At 43.4% G+C, this 18,802-nt stretch overlaps 1 long non-coding RNA gene, 1 pseudogene, 1 gene segment (V, D, J or C) and 1 further gene, besides 5 other annotated features; 1 reads left to right on the top strand and 3 right to left on the bottom strand.

The window, feature by feature from the left end:
* The window catches only part of TRB (T cell receptor beta locus), a 514,277-nt gene that overhangs the window by 472,336 nt on the left and 23,139 nt on the right, over positions 1 to 18,802 (bottom strand).
* LOC105375539 (uncharacterized) lies at positions 4,233 to 11,044 on the top strand. The gene is made up of 2 exons (XR_928061.3): positions 4,233 to 5,717; positions 9,597 to 11,044. It is a non-coding gene; the product is annotated as an uncharacterized LOC105375539 (long non-coding RNA).
* Positions 8,051 to 8,551: an enhancer, noted in NCBI's record as "H3K27ac hESC enhancer chr7:142032227-142032727 (GRCh37/hg19 assembly coordinates)". NCBI's record gives its function as "activates a minimal SCP1, AML or CMV promoter by ChIP-STARR-seq in primed H9 embryonic stem cells {active_cell/tissue: H9 hESC(primed)}" and the evidence as "EXISTENCE:reporter gene assay evidence [ECO:0000049][PMID:30033119]".
* Positions 8,244 to 8,250: a recombination feature (RSS_heptamer).
* Positions 8,251 to 8,737, bottom strand: TRBV7-1 (T cell receptor beta variable 7-1 (non-functional); annotated as a pseudogene). The gene is given in 2 exon segments: positions 8,251 to 8,548; positions 8,689 to 8,737. Coding segments are annotated over 2 exon segments (347 nt in total), but the record flags the coding sequence as incomplete, so codon positions are not given.
* Positions 12,127 to 12,135: a recombination feature (RSS_nonamer).
* Positions 12,136 to 12,158: a recombination feature (RSS_spacer).
* Positions 12,159 to 12,165: a recombination feature (RSS_heptamer).
* Positions 12,166 to 12,598, bottom strand: TRBV6-1 (T cell receptor beta variable 6-1). The segment is given in 2 exon segments: positions 12,166 to 12,460; positions 12,550 to 12,598. Coding segments are annotated over 2 exon segments (344 nt in total), but the record flags the coding sequence as incomplete, so codon positions are not given.

The raw sequence follows: 18,802 nt of genomic DNA, 5'->3' as shown, positions 1-18,802 counted from the left end.
AATCTGTTCAGAGGATAGGTCTCATGTTAAATGTCCTTACCAAAAGTTTAAATAAAAAAGAAATACAAGCTGGCAAAGAAGAGAGAAGGAGAAACCAAAGAGAGAATGAGAAGAAGAAAGGAAATATATAAATTCAAAAACTAAGTACACTAAACATAAAACAATTGAAAATAAACATAAAACAATTGAAAAATGAAAATAAATGCAGACCTTAGTGTTATAAATAGCCAAAAAATATTTTTTATTTTAAAATATTCTTTCTTTCTTTATTTATTTTCTTTTTTTATTTTTTAAAATCTGCCATCATCTGCAGATACTTTTCTTTTTCATTTTCTATTTGACGACATAGGGTATCTTATACACAGTAGGTCCCCCAAAAAAGTTTATTGAATAAAAGAATAAAATAAATTAACTAGTGAATAACAATTACTAGTGTTCCTTTTTCTCAAGATATGTTGCATCCGTTACAGGAAGTCTACAGTTCAGAAAATTACCACCCCTTTTTTTTTCTTTTTCTTTTTCTTTCCTTCCTTCCTTCCTTCCTTCCTTCCTTCCTTCCTTCCTTCCTTCCTCTCTCTCTCTCTTTCTTTCTTTCCTTCTTTCGGGCGTCTAGCTCTGTTGTCCAGCCTGGATTGCAATGGCACAATCTCAGCTCACTGCAACCTCCACCTCCTGAGTTCAAACAATTCCCATTCCTCAGCCTCCTGAGTAGCTGGGATTACAGGCACCCACCAGTATGCCTGGCTGATTTATTTTATTTTTAGTAGAGACGTGGTTTCTCCATGTTGGCAGGCTGGTCTCGAACTCCTGGGCTCAAACAATTCACCTGCCTCAGCCTCCCAAAGTGCTGGGATTACAGCTGTGAAGCATCATGGCTGGCCAGAAAATTACACTTTTTTTTTTTGTCTCAATGAAGGATGAATGTATATGCTTGGCCTGGAAGTCACATGTTCCTTGGACTTCTCAGGGAAGAGACTATACTGATTACGTATGAGGCATGAACTTCACAACCTGTTGATGGGGACCTGTAAAGGGGAAAGCAGGTGAAAGGATAGAGCTACAAAGAAGGGGTTAAGGAGAGGTGTTGGCACAACAGGCTTGAGACTTTTATTTTATTTTATTTTATTTTATTTTATTTTATTTTATTTTGTTTTATTTTGAGACAGAGTCTCACTCTGTTGCTCAGGATGGAGTGCAATGGCATGATCTCGGCTCACTGCAACCTCTGCCTCCAGGGTTCAAGCGATTCTCCTGCATCGGCCACCTGAGTAGCTGGGATTACAGGTGTGCACCACCACACCTGGCCAAATTTTTATATTTTTAGTAGAGATAGGGTTTCACCGATTTTCCCAGGCTGGTCTCGAACTCCTGAGCTCAGGAGATTTGCCCACCTCGGCCTCCCAAAGTGCTAGGGTCACAGGTGTGAGCCACTGCACCCAGTCTTCAGCCAGTTATTAAGTATGAGACCCCGGACAGCTGATTTCCTTCAGATACATAAACAGGTAAAATAATACTTATCCTGCATAATTTATGTGAATATTAAAGCAGATCACATGTAGAAGCAGCAGAAAGTGCCTGGGAAAAGCCTATCAGCTCTCCAGGGCCTGAACCCTTCTGGCTGACAGCATGTCTCTCACGGTCACTTCCTGAGTGGGGGCAGGAATGTTTCTGGAGCTTCCTGCGGGAACTGGCCTTTGCGAGTTTCTCTCCCTGCAGGCCACCACTGCCCCTTGCACCCTTTGGCAGGTCCCAGGCTCAGCTGCTCCATGCATCTGTCCCGCACAGCCCTGAAACTAAAGGTTTGGTGGGTGGAGAGCAGGCCCCACATGCCCACATCACACCTTACTTTCCTCTACCTGCCCTGTCCCTGCCCTGACACTGATTCCCAGCCCTTGTGGCTGAAGCTCCTTCACCATCCACTGCCCAAGCAGACACAGGGACACTCTACTCTTTGGTGCAAACTGAGGCCTCCAGCACCTCTACTCTTCTCTGGTAGTGGGGAGTTTGTGTTTAACTCTGGATCCACTCTGAATCAAACCACTCCCCTGAAGCCAGCAGGCAGCCAAGCATAGGCTTCAGCTCCTCTCTTGGCCACCTTCCCACCCCTCTCCAGGGTTCCCTGCAGCATTGTGGAGCCACAGCGTCACCAAGTGGCCAACATTCCACAGTCTCATGGATTCACACCTGACCTGATGAGTTCAAGATTGTCCAAATCAGGAACAAAGATGCCCCACTCCCACCCTTGCAACCCTCATCCTCACACCCTCTATGCTTTCCCCAAAAGGCCAATTTAGGGTTGATCTTCAAATTCACCCTGGGCCAAGTGAGGCAAAAGGACACATGAACCAATCTTTTTATTACAAAATAAACCGTTGTTGCACTTAGAGAGCAGCCAAAATTACACAGACCCTTAATTAAACAGTGTGAGGATGTCAAGCCCACCTAGCCCAGAAACACTGCATTGTTCCCTGGCTCCCTTTGCTTAATCAGGCCCAATCTTTTCCTATTTTGTATTTAAATTAATATCAGTAAATTTTACATCATGTGTTTTATAAGAGAGGATTTCCTGATTTTCTTTTTTTTTTTTTTGAGACGGAGCTTCGCTCTATCACGCAGGCTGGAGTGCAGTGGTGCGATCTCGGCTCAGTGCAACCTCCACCTCCCAGGTTCAAGTGATTCTCCTGCCACAGCCTCCCGAGTAGCTGGGATTACAGGGGTGCACCACCACGCCTAGCTAAATTTTTGTATTTTTGGCAGAGATGGGGTTTCACCATGTTGGCCAGGCTGGTCTCAAACTCCTGACCTCGTGATCCACCTCCCTCAGCCTCCTAAAGTGCTGGGATTACAGGCATGAGCCACTGCACCCGGCCCCATTTTTTGAGTTTACAAATTTATTTCTGAATTTGTAAAATTTTAAAATAAACAACCCTATCAGCTATAACTTAGGCCGATTCAGTGGCTGTGACATTTCCCATCACTCCCTGGGGTTAGGAAAGTGCCTATGAACTCCACCAGTGATCCAGTGATGCTTAGTAAATGCCACCCACAGAAACTATTTGCATCTCCACAAGAAAACATACTCACACTCACAAGCACATGCACACAACGTGTTTTAATTGGCAAGGCTGATGAGGTTCAATTACTGAGCACAGCTACTTTTTCTTTCAGTGTTTTAAGTTGATTTCTGAGAAGGACCATTGTTGATGTTTCCAGTCTCACCAAATATCTAAAGATGTGGTCATGGAAAGTGTGGTTATGATGACAAATATTTTTCAGCAAGATTGTGAGACTGGATAAATGTCACTAAGATGTAATGATTTTCTTTTTTCTCAGAAGAACATTTGCAAATTCTGACTTTAAACACAGTTCGGGTACTTTAGAGAACAAGTCATCAATTATGACTGTGAAGACAGAATTGTTTAGGATATTGCAGAATTTGTGTAGAAAACTGAGCCTATCCCTAAAGACTCTCCAGTATGTTTCATGTAGTAGAAGTCTCTTGTAAAGAGGAGATAGTAATTCATGTATTCCAGGGGTCTATGTAAGTGGACTTGAATTGATTCATGTTATAAACATCAGGCAGTTCCAATTATATTCTTGGTTTGGCCTGTGGAGTGAAGAGAGTGATATCATAGAGTGCCAGAGAATGCTGGGATGAGAAGTGAAGAGGAAGACAGGTGGGAGGGAGCCCGTCCTTGGCAGATGAGCAGTGTCTGGCCCTGTCGTGGGAAAATAAATGTCCTTCTGGGCCATGGAAACAGTGAGTGCAAACGCAGAGGATGTGAAAGGCTGCTGAGTTTTACAAAATCTTCGGAAACCGTTTGGTCACAGAAGGTAATCAGATCTGGATGACGAGTGTTAGAAAGCATTCCTAGGAAAGCAGAATTTATCTTGGGGAGAAGCGCAGAGCATTTTCTCCTTCAAAACCAAGGGCAATCTGACATTCTCTGTATTTTGGGAAGTACCTGACTTCCCTGAGGAGTTAAGATCAGGGCCAGAGTCCAGAAAGAAGACATCAGGACCAACTTCAGGGTTCTTACAGGAGACAAGCGGCTGTTTGGTGTTTTTCCCAACTGAGACTGGCCTCAACGTGATGCCAGTTGCTATCAGTCCTTTCTTTATATTTTCTAGGTGTCGAAAACTTTTGGAGTGGGGAGAAGAACGTTCGTGGTGCACAGAACACGACTTTTCATCATTTTCTGCTCTATTACTATTTTCAGTCATCTTTGATCAGGTTCTCTTTTCTTGACTTTTCCCAAATCTCAGTTTCTTCTTCCTCAAGTATATAAAGCAAACTCCTGTGACTCTACCTTCTTCACTATGCCATTTTCAACAATCTTGACCCCAAAATAAAATTCCCTGCCCTGAATAAAGAAGACCCAAGCTATGAAATCACAAAAACTTCCTCTATCCCGGTAGCTTACAGCATCTGGTGAAGTCGGTAATTTCTCAAAAAAAAAATAAAACAGGGACCAACCCTAGACAGACAGAGATATGCGACCTTTAAGACAAAGAACTCAAAATCGTGCTTTGAGGAAACTCAATGAAATTCAAGATAAACAAACATGTCCCCCAAAATGACAGTCAATGTTACGATAAAAATAAAGATTAGTAAAAGACTGACCAGATAATGAGATAGCCTTATATTTCCAAGGTCATCTTGACCTTCAAGAAGGGGTCAAATATGCATTAACAAGTGAAAAATAGGAATATAAAAAGTAGGATCATTTGCAAGGCAATACACAGTATCTAATGTGGAAAGTAACGACGGATATAATTAAGACCAGCAAAAGGCCTGCTATGTGAAATGAGTAACTTGCACAAGGCACATCTGCTGATCTGAGCAGCGGAGAGGGAAGAGATTATTCTGGAAGAGGCAGAGGAGTGGTGTGAGATAAGGACACACTGGTGCAAAATAGTATCATTAGCAAACAGAACCTGCCGGGGGACTGTGGCCTATATGACTTTTCTTTCCACTGTCCTCTGTGAGAGCTCAAATGCACCATTTTCTGTTCCAAGGATTTGCTCCCGCAGCCCTCACTCCACCCCAGTTAGAAGCTGCTGGTATTTATTCCTCTGCAGTCTCCCATGGACAAACTCCCACTCCTTCTTCGTGGAGCATGGTCTAGAGCAGAGGTCATCTCTCCCTCCCTCCAAATCCCACAGTAATTGGCATGAGCCTCTCTCATAGCTTGCTCACGTGCCACCTAATTCTGCACCTTTTCATTTCAACTAGATTGAGAGTTAGGTGTGGATCATGAACCTTAAACAACACCTTCATCAACAGGATGTGTAAATGACTGCTTTCACTGTTCTATCGTGAACAGAAGAAATACACCATTAAAATGATTGTTTAAATTAATTTAACCACAAAAACTTTCCCAAATGCTGTCAACAATGCAACCGCAAAAGAATTACTCTCCTAAATTGTGAGATTGTAGAATGAAACAAGAAGCAAAGAAAATTATGTCAAATATTGGAGAGGAGCCTCAGAATTTGAATCCCTCTTCTACAAATATCATTTGACATGATGCCTCTCTCTACCTGAGACACAGAATGGCACCTGTGCCCCATACCCACTGGAGACTGTGGAAATCTGGAGGGAGCAACCTTGGTGATTCTGCCCCAAGAGAAGGGATTCTCTGGAGCTCTGGACAACATCCTGGGACTAAGATGGACAGTGGGAGTATTGCAGCTTGGAGAGGATAATATTTAAGGTGAGTATGATCCTTCTGACCTCTCAGCCCAAAATGAATCCAGGGTCATACCTGATGGTCAGGGGCTGCTTAGTTTCCTATGCAAATTAGTCCATGCTGCAGGGTCTGTCAGTGCCACAGAGGAATAGCGGGGCACTATAGTATAAAGTGACTCACAGCCCAGAGCTGCTGCTTGCCCCATCTCTGTTTTCAGTGATTGCAGCATCTGCATACTTCATGCAAGGAAGGATAATTTGAAAATAATGGACTGGTTCCCTGTTTCCTTTAGCTACATTCCAAATAGTTGTCTTGTTTCAGATTGGCATGCTCATAGGAGACACAGACCCACAGAGCAAGGGAATTTGGAGATTGGAGAGAAGTAGGATCACTTGAGATTCCCTTAGACTATGGCTTCTAGGAGCAGAAACAGATGGACAGTGGATTCTGAGCCTTTTTGGCCCCATAAGACATGCCCTAATAGGATCATCATTGTATCAGAAAACATTCCAGTGATGTCCTTGTAAACTGGATATCTGTGAGGGTGGGGCCATGCCTAGTAGCATTTGTCAGTTCCTATGGTATCAGCATAGCCACTATGGCAGATTTCAAGCTGTCATCATGGCTTCATTCAATGAGGATTTGGGAAGGGTTTGCCTATTTGGCTCTTCTGAATCATGCAAGCTGGTTCCAGCACATTCCCAGACTCAGGAGCATAGCTTTCAATCTTGTTCAATCCTCCATACTCAACACCCTTAAAACGAGTTACCAGCAACTGTAGCACAGCCTGTTGTTTTCGTGATAGGATAAGAGTGTGTGTCCCTAGTTCTTAGAGTGGACAAAGGGGTGTTTGTGCAGAGAAAGGATTGCCAAGTCCTCTGAAGCTGCTGAGATCACAGAACACAAGGCTATGCCAACTGGTTTGAAAGCTTCTAGACTTTGATTCAAAATAATTTTATGGACATTCTGCTTTGGTTCAACTAAAAAATTCAACTCTGTTAGCATGTTCCCAGAATGTAGTCCAGTGTTATTAACTCTAGTCACTTTGTTGTATAAAAGATTTTTTAAACTTCTTCCTCCTATCTGAGTGAAATTTTGTATCCTTTGACCAGCATCTCCCCAGCACCCCATCTCCACCCCAGCCTCTGGTAATTACTGCTCTAGTCTTTCGATGTGTCTTAATTTCCCTGAGGTCTTTAACTCAAGAAGACAGGGGTATTTTCTTTATAATAATGCTTATATTACTTTTTGTTTTCTTTATTTTTTCAAATATATTATTTGTTATGAATATAAATAAGTATATTGTAATAAAATCTTCCACCTCTCTGTGGGTGAAGCTACAGTTCTCATTTCATTAGAGCAGGGCTTGTATTTCTTCTTTTTTTAGCTATTAATAAAATATTCCCTTTATGCCCTTGTATGTTCACCCTCAGTGTAGGTAGGAAGCCCTGCCCACCTTTTTTACATCTTTTTTCAGCAACAGTGTTTACAGCTGTGGTCTGAATTCTGTTCAAGCCTAAGAATCAGAGCTGGTCCACTATTGTGAGCGTGGGTCTCAGGAGTCATGTGGATAAAGGTGGAAAAAGATGGACACAAGGTCTTAGGAAGTCCTTGAAATAGCATCCGAAGGTCAGGGAATTTCCATCTGTGCCCGGGGCGTCCTCACTCCCAGGAGACACAAGGTAACAGCAAGGAGTGATTTGATGATGGCAAAATTGTAATGGGTTCAGAACAATCCCTGCCAAGGACCATCATTTGCTAGAGAAAGACGTTTGGTGTCTGCGGCACCACAATATCCAATAACTGAATTTGGGGAACTATAATTTTCCAAGGAGCTATGCAGGACCATGCACTTCTGTCCTGGCTGGGTCTGGAATATTCTATCTTAAACTTGGTGTATGGGGCTGTCTCTGAGGACTCCCAGAAACCCATGATCCATAATTATGTCAGCGTTGGTCACAGCATGAAATTTAGAATATGTGAACTGTAGCTTTACCCAAAGAGAGGTGAAGGATTTTTATTACAATATACTTATTTATATTTACAATAAACACTATATTGCAAGACATAAAATAACGAAACAAAAACAAAGCAAAAATAATGTAAGCATCATTATAGAGAAAATTCCCCCATCTTGTTGAGCTAAAGACCTCAGGGAAATTACTTCAAATTCAAAGACTAGAGCAGTAATTAGCAAAGGCTGGAGTAGAGATGGACTGTTGGGAAGATGTTGGTCAACAGATACAAAATCTCACTCAGATAAGACGAAGATGTTACAAAGATCTATTATACAACAAATGACTAGAGTTAGCAACAGTGGATTGTATTCTGGGAAAATGCTAACAGAGTACATTTTAAGTATTCTCACCACTGGAAAGGATAAGGATTGAGGTACTGCATATGTTAACTAGCTAGATTTAGTCATTGCACTATGTACATACATTTTTAAACGCAGGTTGCATGGTATACACATATACAACTCTTATTTGTCAGCATTCAGGTTCTAGAAACCCCATTTCCTAGGGAACCAAGCTGACACTGGAGCAGTAGTGCTGTGGCTGAGCTGCTGGCACAGAGATACACAGCCAAGTCCCCCTGCTGTGTGCGCTGGAACTTCAGAGTGGAGATGGATCCCTCAGACCTCTGTGCAGAGAACCGATCACGGGGAAGCCCCGATTTGTCTGCTGCATCCTTGCCTTGGAAGTAAATTGGAAACTCCAGGCCCTGCCCCAGGCTCTGTCGGTACCAATAAAGGGCATTATGACCTGAAATTGGATCATATCTGAGAGCTACATCCTTTCCCTTCTTTGCTACCTTGTGTCTCAGGGACTGGGAGACTCCAGCACCTGTGTGATCTGTGGAGACAGAAATTGGGAACTGAATGAGAAAAACAACTATAGTCAGCTCTCTCTCTCTCTCTCTCACACACACATCTCACACACATACACACACACACACACACACACAGGAGACTGCTTGGCATCTGAGGAATCACCTGCCCCCAGGAGACATATGGCTGCCCAGCAGAGGAGCCTTGTGCCCATGGCAGGGTCAGGGCAGGATGGGAGCTTTACCAGATCAGAGTCACTGTGAGTAGGAGCAGAGGAGGAGGGATGTCCTTGTTCCCACACAGAAGGTCCCATAGTGACATCACATCCTCTCTCAATCCACGCAATGACAGGAACAAAGGATTTATTTTAGGACCTACTTAAATGCCTCCTTTAAATATTTATGAGTTCCTTGCTTTTTGCTTGTTTGTTCTTTGAGACAGAGCCTTGCTCCATTGCCCAGAATGGAGTGCAGCAGTGTGATCTCGGCTCACTGCAAACTCTGCCTCCCAAGTTCAAGTGATCCTCCTGCCTCAGCCTCCTGAGTAGCTGGGATTACAGACTCACACCACCATACCAGGCTAATTTTTGTATTTTTAGTAGAGACGGGGTTTCACCACATTGCCCCGGCTGGTCTCAAACTCATGACCTCAAGTGATCCGCCCACCTTGGTCTCCCAAAGTGCTGGGATTACAGGCGTGAGCCCAGCACTTTGGGAGGCGGAGGCAGGTGGATCATGAGGTCAGGAGATCGAGACCATCCTGGCTAATATGGTGAAACCCTGTCTCTTCTAAAAATACAAAAAATGAGCCAGGCGTTGTGGCGGGCGCCTCTAGTCCAAGCTACTTGGGAGGCTGAGGCAGGAGAATGGCTTGAACCCGGGAGGCGGAGCTTGCAGTGAGCCGAGATTGCGCCACTGTACTCCAGCCTGGGCGACAGAGCGAGAATCTGTCTCAAAAAAAAAAAAAAATCCTTTTTAACAACATCAATGCATGTATCATCGCTTTGGGCTCTCATGCTGTCTGGACCCGGAGGCCTCACGCTGCATCTCTGAGTTTATCTCCTCATCCCACAGCCGCTCCTCTGTCTGCTGGGCATGTTCTCTAGGATGTGTCAACAGCTCCGCCAACACAAAGCACCAAAAGGTGAGCTCATTGTCTTTCCTGCAAGTCAGAGTCCCCTGTGCCATCCCCATTGATGCCCCAGCCTCCTCCATCCCCCCAGTCACACGTGCCCAATGGGGCTGTCCCATCACATGGGTTCCCTCACGAGCGGCACCTCATGCCCCTCTTCTGGGACCACTTCCCATCTTTGTTAACTATAATTCAGAAAGGATACCTTGGTGACAAACTCACCGTGTTTTTTCTTTCTCTATCTATAAATATATTTACCTCAATCTCAATATTTAATGAATGAGAATTATAATTCTGACTTGATGCTTATTTTTAATCTCCTTTCTTGACTTTCACTGTTCCTTTCAGTCTATTCTGCTGGGAGATAGTTATCTTTTGGGCTACTTTTAAAATCTTCTCTTTGTCATTTGTGTTCCGCAATTTCACCATAACATATGTATTCATCTACTTCATATTCATTTAACTTGTTGAAACAGAGGATTTAGGTCCTGAAACACGTCTTGAAAATTCTCAGCTAATGTCTCATAATTATCACCTATCATTCTCTCTACTTTCTCTTTGTGACACTTCAATCATGTGTAAGAAAAATGGGAAGTTCCAACAAAATATTATATATACACTAATACACTAGAACCCACAAGTGTTTTATTCCTTATCCCTTACCTTTTCTTGTTTCCTGTTTAATTTTCTGTGCTGCATTCTAGGTAACTTCTTCAGATCTGTCTTTGACCTCCTGTAACAATCTCTTTTGAAGCATGTCATCTTTTCTTCATTTCCATTTTGTTTTCAATGATAATCTTAATCGTTAGTGTATTCTCTTTGATTATTTTTTAATGTTTCCTTGATTATTTCTGACAGTCTTCTTTTTCATGTTCACATATCAATTCGCTTTTGTATTCCTTTAAATATAGCTCTTTAACTTTTATATCTTTTTATGGCAAAATTCCTTGTCTTCATACATTTCAATTGCTTACTGTTTCTACTCACTTTTCTTCATTGGTTCTTGCTTTAGTTGTCTTAATAGTGGGAATATATTTACCTGACATTAATCTGTGGGATTTCAGAGAGTCCTGCATTGAGAGTGCAGAACGTCCAGTCCATAGCTTTTCCAGCTGTCTCCAGTCTTATCCCAAATGCACGGGGCAAAGAATTGTCTGCTGCACTCTGAGTTGCCAAACACACTCCTGGGTTTGGTTCCTGGGATCAGAACACGCTCTCAGGACAGTCACAATGTTCCCTCCAGAACACAGTTCTCATTTTTGTTATTTTTCATGACACCTTCTCCAGAAATTAGCACCTATAAGGCTGTGTAGTCATGACTTTCCCTACCTGTTCTTCCAAGAAAAATTTATATAAATACATTTTCAATAAAAAAACTCCAAAGTCTAAAGATATTCCCTCTTCTTTCCTTTTTGGTTCCTAACCCAAAACTTTAAAAAATAACTTAGAATTGTATAATGTAGACTTTACCCTCATTGAGTTTGAAGAACATATGATATTTAAAATTGGAAACTCCTAGATGAACTGACAAACTGGCTTGCACAATGAATGGTCCAACGCTTGTTCAACAAGCGAGTGCCCTTTGAAGAGCTCATAGCAGAGCATCTCAGGCACAGTTAACTCTAGATTTCTGCCAGGGTACAGCGGACCTGGAGTGTTCCTGTTATTGGTTCATCCACCCGCTCATCACTCAATCAGCCTGTCATTCATTAACTCATCCATTATCTGTGAAACAGGTCTCCCTTCATTCCAGGAACAGCTGTTGGTAAATGTAACAAGCACAGCCTTCCCCTTTATGGAGTTTAAAATCGACATGAGCAGAAAAATATCCAGACAAGTAACTGGAAAACTCCAACTGTGCTCAACTCTGTTGACTAACAAGCACATGTTACCATCAGTGCTTATAACAGAAAAATTGATCTCAGCTGGGAGGCAAGGGCATGCTTCCCACAGGAGGGCTGATCATGCTGAGATGTGAAGCACAGGTAGGAGTTGGCCACTGCAGAAAGGAAGCCTCCAGCCCAGGGCAGAGAAAATGGACTTTGAAGTCTCTGTGATGGGAAGGAAGGAGGCACAGAAGAGGGGCTCCCCTCATGGCTGCTGTGGAGAGGTGTGGGGAAGTGAGGGGAGGAGAGACCCAGCAAGGCCTTGGAGGGTGACTGCCCAGATGGGAAAGGTGGGCCACAGGAGAGACAACATGAGGGTGGGGGCTGGGGGAAACCCTAGAGAGAAGAAGCAACATGGTCCCCAGGGAGAGACAACATGAGGGTGGGGGCTGGGGGGAACCCTAGAGAGAAGAAGCAACATGGTCCCCAGGGAGAGACGAGAGTCTAGATGGATCTGAAATACAAATCCTGTTTCATCCTGGGGGCCTCAGACCCATGATGATGGGGTTTCAAGTTTCCTGGTGCAGAGAACTCTGCCCAGGGCATCACTGAGTCTGGGGTGAGGGAGGAGGGCAGAGCCTCCCTGCCTTTATGTGCAGAGAGGAGACGGCCATGCAGCGCTGTGGCTTCACTGCTGGCACAGAAGTACACAGATGTCTGGGAGGGAGCAGCCGACTCCAGCCTGAGCGAGAACTCCCGTTTGTTTAATCTGGAGACATTGTAGCCATTGGGGACTTCTCCTTTGTCAGTGGTACCCTCAGAAGCTGAGTAATAAATCAGCCTCAGTCCCATGCCTGGGTCTTGTCGATACCAGTACATGGAGTTATGGTTCATATCCTGGGCACACTGCAGTGTCATGCTCTGTCCTGTCTTCAGGACCTGGAATTTTGGGGTCTGAGTGACACCAGCATTCACTGGACCTGCAGAGAAGAACAAAGCTGATGCTGCAGCCACAATGGAAACAGGCTGGGCCTTGAAATCCACACATGGGGCCCTGCCCAGGACTTACTTGCCCACAGGAGAGAAAAGGCCACACAGCACAGGAGCCCGATGCTCATGGCAGGTGCTACAGGATGGAGGGGTCTTCTGGGTCTGTGCATCGGTGATAGGGGAACAGTACTCTCAAGGGGGTCATTCTGAGACTTCATTCTCCCTGCCTGGGCCCCAGAGCCTTCCTGTCAGGAGAGGCCACGCCCCTTCCCCAGATGGTCAAATTCAAGATTCATGCACCGGTGAACCGTTTGAATGGGAAGAATGCCTTTGTCTGAATTGACACAGCCTTACGAGTTTTTCTTAACCTTTTTGGAAGCAGTTTGTAACTCAATGGAACTCTTATCCCTGTGATGATATAATTCCTCATTCATACACTGGTGTCAGTTATCTAAATATTTCTCTAATTTAGACTCTTAGGGAAACTTCTCATGTCTTCCCGGTGTTTTTGACTCCTGTGTCCCAAATCCCCCTTCAAGTATCCTTTTCTAATTTGCTTAATTGACCATAATCCTGTTTAAAATCCTTTGTCTATATTGGTTTTCTCTGTTACCAAGTTTCCAAATCCCAGGGGCAGGCTCATCACCATTGGAGGAGTCATTTTGCTCTGTTTCTTTTCAATTCACCGACAGATGGGACTCCTGACAAGCCCAGCTGAGCACCTTCAGCTCCACCCAGGGCTCTTGCTTTCTGTGCCTGGGGTGAGACCGCAGCAGGCAGAACCACCTCACGCTGCTGACTGCCCTCTCTGTGTGGATGATAGTGGCAGCCCAACGCTGCCCATGATCTGTGGGCACAAAGGTGTCTTGACATGTGAGGGATGTGGGGAGAGGAGAGAAGAGGCAGGCTCCAGGATAAGAAAAAGCGCTCTCATTTTATTTGAAGTGTCATATTTCATAGGGAATATTCCCTTGGTCAGGATTCTCACCACTAATTCAGTAACAATTAAAAAAAAAAAAAAAAAAGGCCAGGCGCAGTGGATCACGCCTGTAATCCCAACACATTGGAAGGCTGAGGTGGGCGGATCATGAGGTCAGGAGTTCAAGACCAGTCTGACAAACATGGTGAAACCCCGTCTCTACTAAAAATACAAAAAAAAAAAAAAAAATAGCTGGTCATGGTGGTGCGCACCTGTAATCCCAGCTACTTCAGGAGGCTGAGGCAGGAGAATCACGTGAACCCAGGAGGCAAGGTTGCAGTGAGCCAAGATTGCACCACTGCACTCCAGCCTGGGCAACAGAGCAAGACTCCGTCTCAAAAAAAAAAAAAAAAAAAAAGAAAAGAAAAAAAAAAACCCGTATTTTAGTGCACAGAGCCCCACACTTAAAGAGATCCCTGTTACTGTAACATTGTCATGATCTTCAACTTCCTTACAATATTTGAGCAAAGAGCTGCCAGTAAGTCACATTGCCGGTCCTGAGTACATGGTTTTGTTTCATATTCTGCTCACCTCCTCTTGTGCTAGTTTCCTTTTGGCAAAAGCACATGACTGGAGTCTGAGTCACTCAGCATCCATGGTGTTTAGGAGAGAAGGACACAGAAATTGAAGTCAGAGCAAAGGGCCACCTGGTGCTGAAATTCACAGCCAGGATATAACAAGTTCGTGAGTGGGTACACTGTCTGTGTCCAGGCTAGACCAGGAGACAGAGAAACACACAATGTAGGAGCCTGCTTCCCAGGGCAGAAAAGGGCATTTCCTAGCTCAAGGCTTAGGTTTTATGAATTGGACACTTAGTGTCAACACAAAGAGAACCTTTCTCCCAATGTGACGTCATCTCTCAACAAGGTCACTATTACCGTATTTTGTTTGGCCCCAGGGCACTCAGTGTGTGAACACAAAGCTCAGCTGCATGTGTGTCTGATGAAACTCAAAATATTTCCCTTAAAGATGATTAATTTTCGCCAAAATATCATTACAAAATAATTGGAGTGAATGAGCAGATAAGAAAAGAAATGAAAGAAAATGAATAAATAAACTTCGTAAAATCAGTCTGTACCAGGTTAGAAGACCTTCTGAGGTTGTTTCATCACAATATCCATCTCCAGATAGAATTGTCCCTAATGTGGATCTGGTAGCTCACCTGGCTTCAACCCCTTTTAAAACCATAAAACTTTTCAGGAGCTCCTCATTCTGTTAATTATTTGGTTACGTATAACCGATCTGTTTATTTAAAATGTGTAATGCTTATATAACTTATATATCAATAATACTGAGTTTTAAATGCCTGAGGAGGGATATATGCTACATTCTCTAGTTCATACTTTCAAAGTAATCATCACGCATATATATTTCCATTTCTGTGGCTTCCTGAGTCCTCACCCTAAGATTTCCAGGCAAAATGTGTCTTTAACTGCCTTTGGGCATTGGCGCAGTGGAAGAGGCTGCCCGAGACTAGCAAAGGAAATAAAAATAGCTAGATTTCTACTATATGCTAAATATTTTATGGTATTGGGGTATTGGCTGGGTGCGGTGGCTCACACCTGTAATACCAGCACTTTGGGAGGCCGAGGTGGGCAGATCACGAGGTCAGGAGATCAAGACAATCCAGGCTAACACTGTGAAATCTCATCTCTACTAAAAATACAAAAAATCAGCCAGGCATGGTGGTGCATACCTGTAATCCCAGCTACTCGGGAGGCTGAGGCAGGAGAATCACTTGAACCCGGGAGGCAGAGGTTGCAGTGGGCCAAGATCACACCACTGCATTCCAGCCCAGGCGACAAAGCGAGACTCTGTATCAAAAAAAAAAAAAAAGAAAAAAGAAATTCTATTTGTGTATAGTAAAATAACAATAAATAGTGAAATTATTATTTTTTTGAAGTCTTCTCTATGAAGCAGAATTGAACTTCGAATGAATGTGCATTCATATACTCAGTGCTTACTGTTCTGCAAATGACCCTGCCACTCCTGTGACAGATGGTTTCGCAGAAACAATAAGATACTATACATTTAATATTCAGACCTTAAATGTGGTGTATGCATACAATGGAATATCATTAAGTATTAAAAAGAAGAAATTCTGGCCATACATGACAATGTGGCTAAACCTGGAGGACATTATGCTGAGTTGAAAAAGTCAGGCACAGAAAGACAAATACTACATGATTGTGCTTATATGAGGCAACCTAAAAGTCAAACTGATGTAAGTGAAGATGAAAATGGTGATTTCCAAGGGCTAGGAAGAGGGGGAAATGGGCAGCTGCCACCAGTGGCTACAAAATTTCAGTAAAGAAGAATCAGGAAGCTTTAGAGATCTGCTGTCCAACCTTGTGTCTGTAGATTACGATACTATATTGTACATTTAAAAATCTGTTTAAAAGATAGCCTTAGGTTATTAAACTAAAAAAGCTGGCAGAAAAAGCTGTAGGTGGCTAAAGAGAAAAAGAGAAGAAAAAAAGGAAATCTGTATAATTCAGAAACTGAGCAAACGTCTTTGAATAAGTTAAAAAAATTAATGCAAACCTTAATACTCTAAAAAGTAAGAAACACTTATTATTCTTTCAAGCTTTTCTTTTTTATTTTCATTTGTTCTTTTTTATTTTGCTTTTTATGTCATAAAATATCTATACAAAGAAAGGATCTCCAAACATATATTAAATAAAATAATAACTAATGAATAACAATTTTTCTTGTTACTTTTCCTCAAGGTAGATTATATCAGTTACAGGAAGTGTACAGTGCAGATAATTTCATCCTTCTGTTTTGCTTCAGTGAAAGGTGAATGGATATGCTTGGCCTGGAAGTCACGTGTTCCTTGGACTTGTCAGGGAAGAGGTTACAATGGTCACATATGAGGCATGACCTTGTGCTCCTGCTAATTGGACCTGGAAAGGGGAAGCCAGATGAAGGGACAGATATAGAGTCGGGGGACGGGGCTGGTGCAGAGATGTTGGAGGAAAACACCTCAGCCAATTACTTAATATGAGACCCGGAACAGCTGCTTTCCTTCAGATGTATAAACAGGTGAAATCATACCTACCTTACATGATTTCAGTGAGCATAAAACCAGATCACATACAGAAACAACAGGAAGTGTCTGGAGGAAAAGCCTGTCAGCTCACCAGGACCTGAGCCCCTCTGGCTGGCAGCACCCTCCTCAGGGTCACTCCCTGAGTGGAGCTAAGAAAGTGTCACCCAATTCCTTCGGGTACAGTCCTTTTCCAGGTACTCTTTCTGCAGGCCACTCCTGCCTTGTTCACCCATTGAAAGACTCAGGCTCAGCAGCTCCATGCAGCCTTCCTGTCCCGCACAGCCCCTCAACTAAAGGGGAGGTGGCTGGTCACAGTCCCCGCATGCCCACATCACACCTCACTTTCCTCTGCCCACCCTATCCCTGTCCTGACACTGATTCCCAGCCCTTGCCACCCCAGCCCCTACACCCTCCTCTGCCCATGCAGAGGCAGAAACACTCCCTGCTTGGTGCCAACCCTGGCCCTACCTTTCCCTGGGCAGTCCCAGGCCAGGACCTACTCTAATTTCCACCTAATCTCCTGATGTCAGCAGGCAGCCAGGCATTCCCTTCCGCCCTCCCTTCCTGGCCACCCTCCTACCCCTCCCCAGGGTTCCCTGCAGCATAGTGGGGCCACGGCGCCCCCAAGTGGCCAACATTCCACAGTCCCATGGATTCACACCTTCTGACCTGATGAGCTCAGGATAGTCCAAGTCAGGAACACGGTTGCCCCCACTCCAACCCCTGCAGCCCCCATTCTTTCACACACCCTGTCTATTGCTTTCCCGGAAGGGTTGATTTAGGGTGGAACTTCAAACTCACCCTTGACCAGTGGAGACAAAAGGACACATCTTGATTGCACAAGAAATTGCTGTTACATTATTGCAATGAGCATCCTAAGATGGAAGAAAGGAGCCAGAATTATACAGGCCACAGGATGAAAGTGTGACAATATCAAGCCAATCTGGGCTGAAAATACTACATTGCAGAGCTCCCTTTGATTAGTCAGACTCATATCTTTTCACACATTGCATTTAGTTTAATTATTCACAAATTTTAGCTAGCACATTTTATAAAAAGGATTTTTTGATTTTACAAATTTATTTCTGAATGTATAAAATCTTGAAATAAACTATCTTATCAGCTATAACTTAGGCAGATTCCGTTAGGTCTGCTATTTTCTATCCTTACCTAGAAGTGCCTAGGAGCTCTGCCAGTGATCCAGCACCTCATAAAATGCCACCAGGGGAGAAACTTCTATGTGAGTGAGTATCCACAAGAAAACACACACACACATTCACACTCACAAACACATAATATCTTTTCATTGTCAAGGATGATAAGATTCCATTACTGAGCAAAGCTAGTTTTTTTTTTCAATGTTGTAGGTTGATTTTGGTTGATTTCATCAAGGATGATTAAGAAGCACCTTTGACTATATTCCACCCTCACCAAATCTCTAAAAATGTGGCTGTGGAAAGTGTGGTTATGGTGAGGAAGTTTTTTACAGGATTATGAGTCTTTATAAATATTACTGTACCATAATTTTCTTTCTTTAGTGATTCTTCAGTCAGCCTAAATAACATAATTTTCTTCACTCCAAAAGAACATTTGCAAATTCCAGCATTAGATACCCTTTGGGAACTTGACAGCACTGGTCATCAATCCTGACTGTGAAGACACAATTGCTAGGAATATTACAGAAGTTACATGAAATACTAAGACTATTCATAATCATTCTCCATGATATTTCATGTAGAGTCCCTTGTAAAGAGAAGACAGTAATTAATCACACTCCAGGATTCTGTATGAGAGGGCAATAACTTATTAGTTTTGCAAACATCAAAGAGTATCAATTGTATGCTTGGCTTTAAAATAAAGGAAAGAGAGTGATACAGTACAGTCCCAGGGAATGTCACAGTAAGAAGTGAAGAGGAAGGCAGGTGTGAGCCTGTCCTTGACAGATGATCAGTATGTGGCCCCGTCTTAGGAGAACAAAGGTCCTCCCAGGCCATGGAAACTGTAAGGACAAACGCAGAGGATGTAGAGACTGCTGAGTTTTAGAAAATGTTCAAAGAGCATTTGGTCATAGAAGGTAATTGGATTTGGGAGGTGAGTGTCAGAAAGGAATCCCAGGGTTGCAGAATTTATTTGGGGGGAAACTGGAAAGTATTTGCCCCTTTAGGAAGAAGGGTGACTTTACCTTCCTCTGTGTTTTGGGAAGTACCTGACTGTGGCCTGAGGAGTCAAGATCAGGGCTGGAAGAAGGAAGACAGCAGAAGCAACTCCAGGGCTCTCACAATGGCCAAGCGGCAATTTGGT

Source organism: Homo sapiens, chromosome 7, assembly GCF_000001405.40.
Source record: "Homo sapiens chromosome 7, GRCh38.p14 Primary Assembly".
Classification (NCBI taxonomy): domain Eukaryota; kingdom Metazoa; phylum Chordata; class Mammalia; order Primates; family Hominidae; genus Homo; species Homo sapiens.
This window is presented reverse-complemented; position numbering and strand designations above follow the sequence as displayed.